We start from the raw sequence: 4,791 nt of genomic DNA on the forward strand, positions 1-4,791 counted from the left end.
GCGTGAGGATTATAGATGTAAGCCACAGCACCTAGCCCCTGGGAGCTTTCGGAGAGGCTGTATTCACCCCTCTGATGTTCCACTTATATCTATAAAGTGGGATTCTGTATTACTAAATTTAAAATTTAGTAACTCTACAATTTAGTAATTTCACGTGCCTTGAAAAGTAACCATAACAACATAAATTTGTTTAATGTTCACTGTGTGCTAGATACTATACTAGTGAATCAATCTTCTGGAATCAAAAGATAATTATCACTTTTATTTTAATGGATAAGGAAAGCAGTACTCAGAGAGGTTAAATAATTTGCCTCTGTTTTCTCAACTCATAAGTGGCAAGCCTGGAAGTTGAGCCTGGGAGTCTTTCTCTCCAAAGCCCACACTCTTAACCGCTATCTTCCCACTGTTTATATAAAGGAAAAACTAACTTTCACCTTTATGCATTCAGCTAAATTTTAAGAGTGAAGCCATACTTTGTATGCCCATTGGCAATGTGAATTCCTTGTGATAAAATATTTTAAAAATATAAGATGCCATCCACATGTGGACCAGTGATGGCCATTAGCACTTTATCACTGTCAAGACCTAGGATTTCAGTTGCAAGAGGGAGGCTGGGGCAGCATTTGTCCAGGCTGGTCGGGTGTTCTGAGTTTCCATTTAGTTAGCCTGTAAATGAATGGGGTGTTACTGGAATGTGAAAGACTGCGTTTTCTGCTACTTGTCTATTCTCACTGAGTGAATGATGTATGTAAATTGTAATTCATTCGTTGTTCCCTGAAATATGGCCGTAACTTCTACTTTCCTGACCTTTTCTGTAGTCTGTTTTGGTTGGTCATTTGTCTTTTCTACACAAGGCAGGGAGGCCACTAACAAGGGATAAATTAAGTGGTCAGCTAATCAAATGAGAGCATCACGTAAAGGTCAAGATGTAGCAGCACATCGCAATAACTCACAGAATATGGGAACCGTTGAACAATGGATCCTTCCACAAGGAAGGGATTTAATTGACTAAGAGAAGTATATCCATTGTAATCGTCGCTTTCCCAGCATTGATGATAGTGGATAGGTGAAGTGTGTTTAATATGGTCAAAGTTTTCTACAGAGATGGTTACCAAATATAAGAGAAAAAATTGAACAGAGCCGCTAAAAGGTATTGAAATATCCCATACATACTTCTTTTTCCTTCCTGGCTCCCTGTCTTAGGTCAATTCCCTGGAAGCACAGTCTGAGATGAGGAATCCTGTGCAAGTGATTTATTGAGGGTTTCAGGAAAAATCAGTAAGCAAGTGAGGAAAGCAGGCTAGGGCAGAAGAGAAGCTAAGCACAGACTGGCTTCAGCTGGAGTCTAACTTCAGCCCAATCCCAAGGGGCTCTGGAGGCGTGATGCACCACAGTTGCTCCCATTGGAGGCAATGGGGCTGGGCTTTTGATCCCATATTGATTAGTCATTGGCTGCGGGCTGCACCTGAGTTGGGATAGTGGGGTTGAAACTCCTGGGCATTTCCTGGCAAGATGGCTTCTGTAGGTCAAGGGCAATTAACCAGAGAAGGGTGCAGCTGTGAGCCATTAGCAGTCAACACTCACAGGTGCTGCTGCAAGTGGATGGGTGACAGGCCTGGTAAAGGGGACCATTGAGGCTGGACACCAGCAACATCTACTCCACTTTCAGGCTTCCTCATCACTTCTGCTATGGTTTGAATATATGTGTCCCTCCAAAATTCATATGTTGGCACCTACCACCCAATGTGATGGTATTAAGAAGTGGGGCCTTTTGGGAAGTGATTAAGTAATGAGCACTCCACTCTCATAAATGGGATTCATGCTCTTATGAAAGAGGTAGAAGAGAGTGCCCTAGTCACGTTTTGCCCTTCCACCTTCACCAAGTGAGGATGCCATAAGAAGGTGCCATTTGGAAGCAGAGAGTGAGCTTACACCAGATGCCAAATCTATCTGAAACTTGATCTTGGACTTCCAAGCCTCCAGAACTGCGGAGAATAAATTTCTGTTGTTTATAAATTACCCAGTCAATGATATTTTGTTATAGTAGCATGAGCTGAGAGAGACAGCTTCCTTCCTGACTCATAGGGTCAGAGTAAAGCTCTGAAGTGCTTTAGCCCTTTACATGAAGTAAGAGTAAGAATTATTTGTAAAACATTTTTTCAGCATGTGTAGTGCGTGCATGCTGAAAAAAGTTTCTTATTGTGAACCATAGTCAAAGAAGTTTGAAAGTTAATCCTTCCACGGAGGACTTATTAGAAAGACAGATTTTTTTTTTCTTCTGGTTGTATATACAGAAGGTATACAGACTGACTCAAACTTTACTTAGGGGAGAATCTATCCTGATTGTTCCTACAGCTTTACAGATGGCTGGAAATGCAAAGAACTGCAATTCTTCATTCTTTGCACATTTGCTGAGAAATTAAGTAAGAAACAATGGATTTCTTCCCTAGTCCTCTCATTCCCTGTCCATGCCCTCTGAACTTTCTACAAGATGGGTTCCTCTGCATGTAAAAGCCTCATCTTTAAAATGGGATGACTTAGGGACAGAGCTTCTCTACAATTCTCTCTTTTTAAAAACTCTGGTGGAGAAGAACGTTACAGTCCTTTTACTCACTCTATGCTAGGGGACATGAATGACACCTGATTAGTAAATACTGGAAGAATAACCAGTCATGCTTATTTCAGCTTTATCCATTCTCCTTTCATTTAGAAATGTGCCTTTCTGCAGAGGACATGAGTTCTCTGTCCCATGCCAAATACTGTGGAGGGGCCTTCCCTAGAGGGATCTGCTATTCAGATCAGTTTTGCCATGACTGGGTGGGTGTGTTTATGTCATTTTAATTCTAAGGTTCAGTATTAGCAACTCACTTGGCTAACAGGGTATTTATGATAAAATCTCTAACCAAACTAGGAATAGAGAAAGCGTTCTTTCTTTTCTTTTCTTTTCTTTTCTTTTTTTTGAGATGGAATCTTGTTGTGTCACCCAGGTTGGAGTGCAGTGGCGTGATCTTGGCTCACTGTGACCTCTGCCTCCTGGGTTCAAGCGATTCTCCTGCCTCAGCCTCCAGAGTACCTGGGATTACAGTTGCCTGCTACCACACCTGGCTAATTTTTTGTATTTTTTAGTGAAGACAGGGTTTCACTATGTTGGCCAGGCTGGGCTCGAACTCCTGACATCAGGTGATCCACCTGCCTTGGCCTCCCAAAGTGCTAGGATTACAGGCATAAGCCACCGCGCCTGGCCCAAAAAAGCCTTCTTAACCCAACCAAGGGCCACTATGAAAGCTTAGATCGGAAGGAGGAGCCAAGATGGCCGAATAGGAACAGCTCCAGTCTACAGCTCCCAGCGTGAGCGACGCAGAAGACGGGTGATTTCTGCATTTCCATCTGAGGTACCGGGTTCCTCTCACTAGGGAGTGCCAGATAGTGGGCGCAGGCCAGTGGGTGCGCGAGCCAAAGCAGGGCGAGGCATTGCCTCACCTGGGAAGCGCAAGCGGTCAGGGAGTTCCCTTTCCGAGTCAAAGAAAGGGGTGACGGACGCACCTGGAAAATCAGGTCACTCCCACCTGAATATTGCGCTTTTCAGACCAGCTTAAAAAACGGCGCACCACGGGACTATATCCCACACCTGGCTCGGAGGGTCCTACACCCACGGAGTCTCGCTGATTGCTAGCACAGCAGTCTGAGATCAAACTGCAAGGCGGCAGCGAGGCTGGGGGAGGGGCGCCCGCCATTGCCCAGGCTTGCTTAGGTAAACAAAGCAGACAGGAAGCTCGAACTGGGTGGAGCCCACCACAGCTCAAGGAGGCCTGCCTGCCTCTGTAGGCTCCACCTCTGGGGGCAGGGCACAGACAAACAAAAAGACAGCAGTAACCTCTGCAGACTTAAATGTCCCTGTCTGACAGCTTTGAAGAGAGCAGTGGTTCTCCCGGCACGCAGCTGGAGATCTGAGAACGGGCAGACTGCCTCCTCAAGTGGGTCCCTGACCCCTGACCCCCGAGCAGCCTAACTCGGAGGCATCCCCCAGCAGGGGCACACTGACATCTCACACGGCAGGGTATTCCAACAGACCTGCAGCTGAGGGTCCTGTCTGTTAGAAGGAAAACTAACAAACAGAAAGGACATCCACACCGAAAACCCATCTGTACATCACCATCATCAAAGACCAAAAGTAGATAAAACCACAAAGATGGGGAGAAAACAGAACAGAAAAACTGGAAACTCTAAAACGCAGAGCACCTCTCCTCCTCCAAAGGAACGCAGTTCCTCACCAGCAACGGAGCAAAGCTGGATGGAGAATGACTTTGACGAGCTGAGAGAAGAAGGCTTCAGACGATCAAATTACTCTGAGCTACGGGAGGACATTCAAACCAAAGGCAAAGAAGTTGAAAACTTTGAAAAAAATTTAGAAGAATGTATAACTAGAATAACCAATACAGAGAAGTGCTTAAAGGAGCTGATGGAGCTGAAAACCAAGGCTCGAGAACTACTTGAAGAATGCAGAAGCCTCAGGAGCCGATGCGATCAACTGGAAGAAAGGGTATCAGCAATGGAAGATGAAATGAATGAAATGAAGCGAGAAGGGAAGTTTAGAGAAAAAAGAATAAAAAGAAATGAGCAAAGCCTCCAAGAAATATGGGACTATGTGAAAAGACCAAATCTACGTCTGACTGGTGTACCTGAAAGTGATGCGGAGAATGGAACCAAGTTGGAAAACACTCTGCAGGATATTATCCAGGAGAACTTCCCCAATCTAGCAAGGCAGGCCAACGTTCAGATTCAGGAAATACA

At 44.9% G+C, this 4,791-nt stretch overlaps 1 annotated feature.

Annotated features, from left to right (window-relative positions):
- Nucleotides 3,542-4,162: an enhancer, noted in NCBI's record as "H3K27ac-H3K4me1 hESC enhancer chr9:1224129-1224749 (GRCh37/hg19 assembly coordinates)". NCBI's record gives its function as "activates a minimal SCP1, AML or CMV promoter by ChIP-STARR-seq in primed H9 embryonic stem cells {active_cell/tissue: H9 hESC(primed)}" and the evidence as "EXISTENCE:reporter gene assay evidence [ECO:0000049][PMID:30033119]".

The sequence above is a fragment of the Homo sapiens genome, chromosome 9 (genome assembly GCF_000001405.40).
Source record: "Homo sapiens chromosome 9, GRCh38.p14 Primary Assembly".
In the NCBI taxonomy this organism is placed as follows: domain Eukaryota; kingdom Metazoa; phylum Chordata; class Mammalia; order Primates; family Hominidae; genus Homo; species Homo sapiens.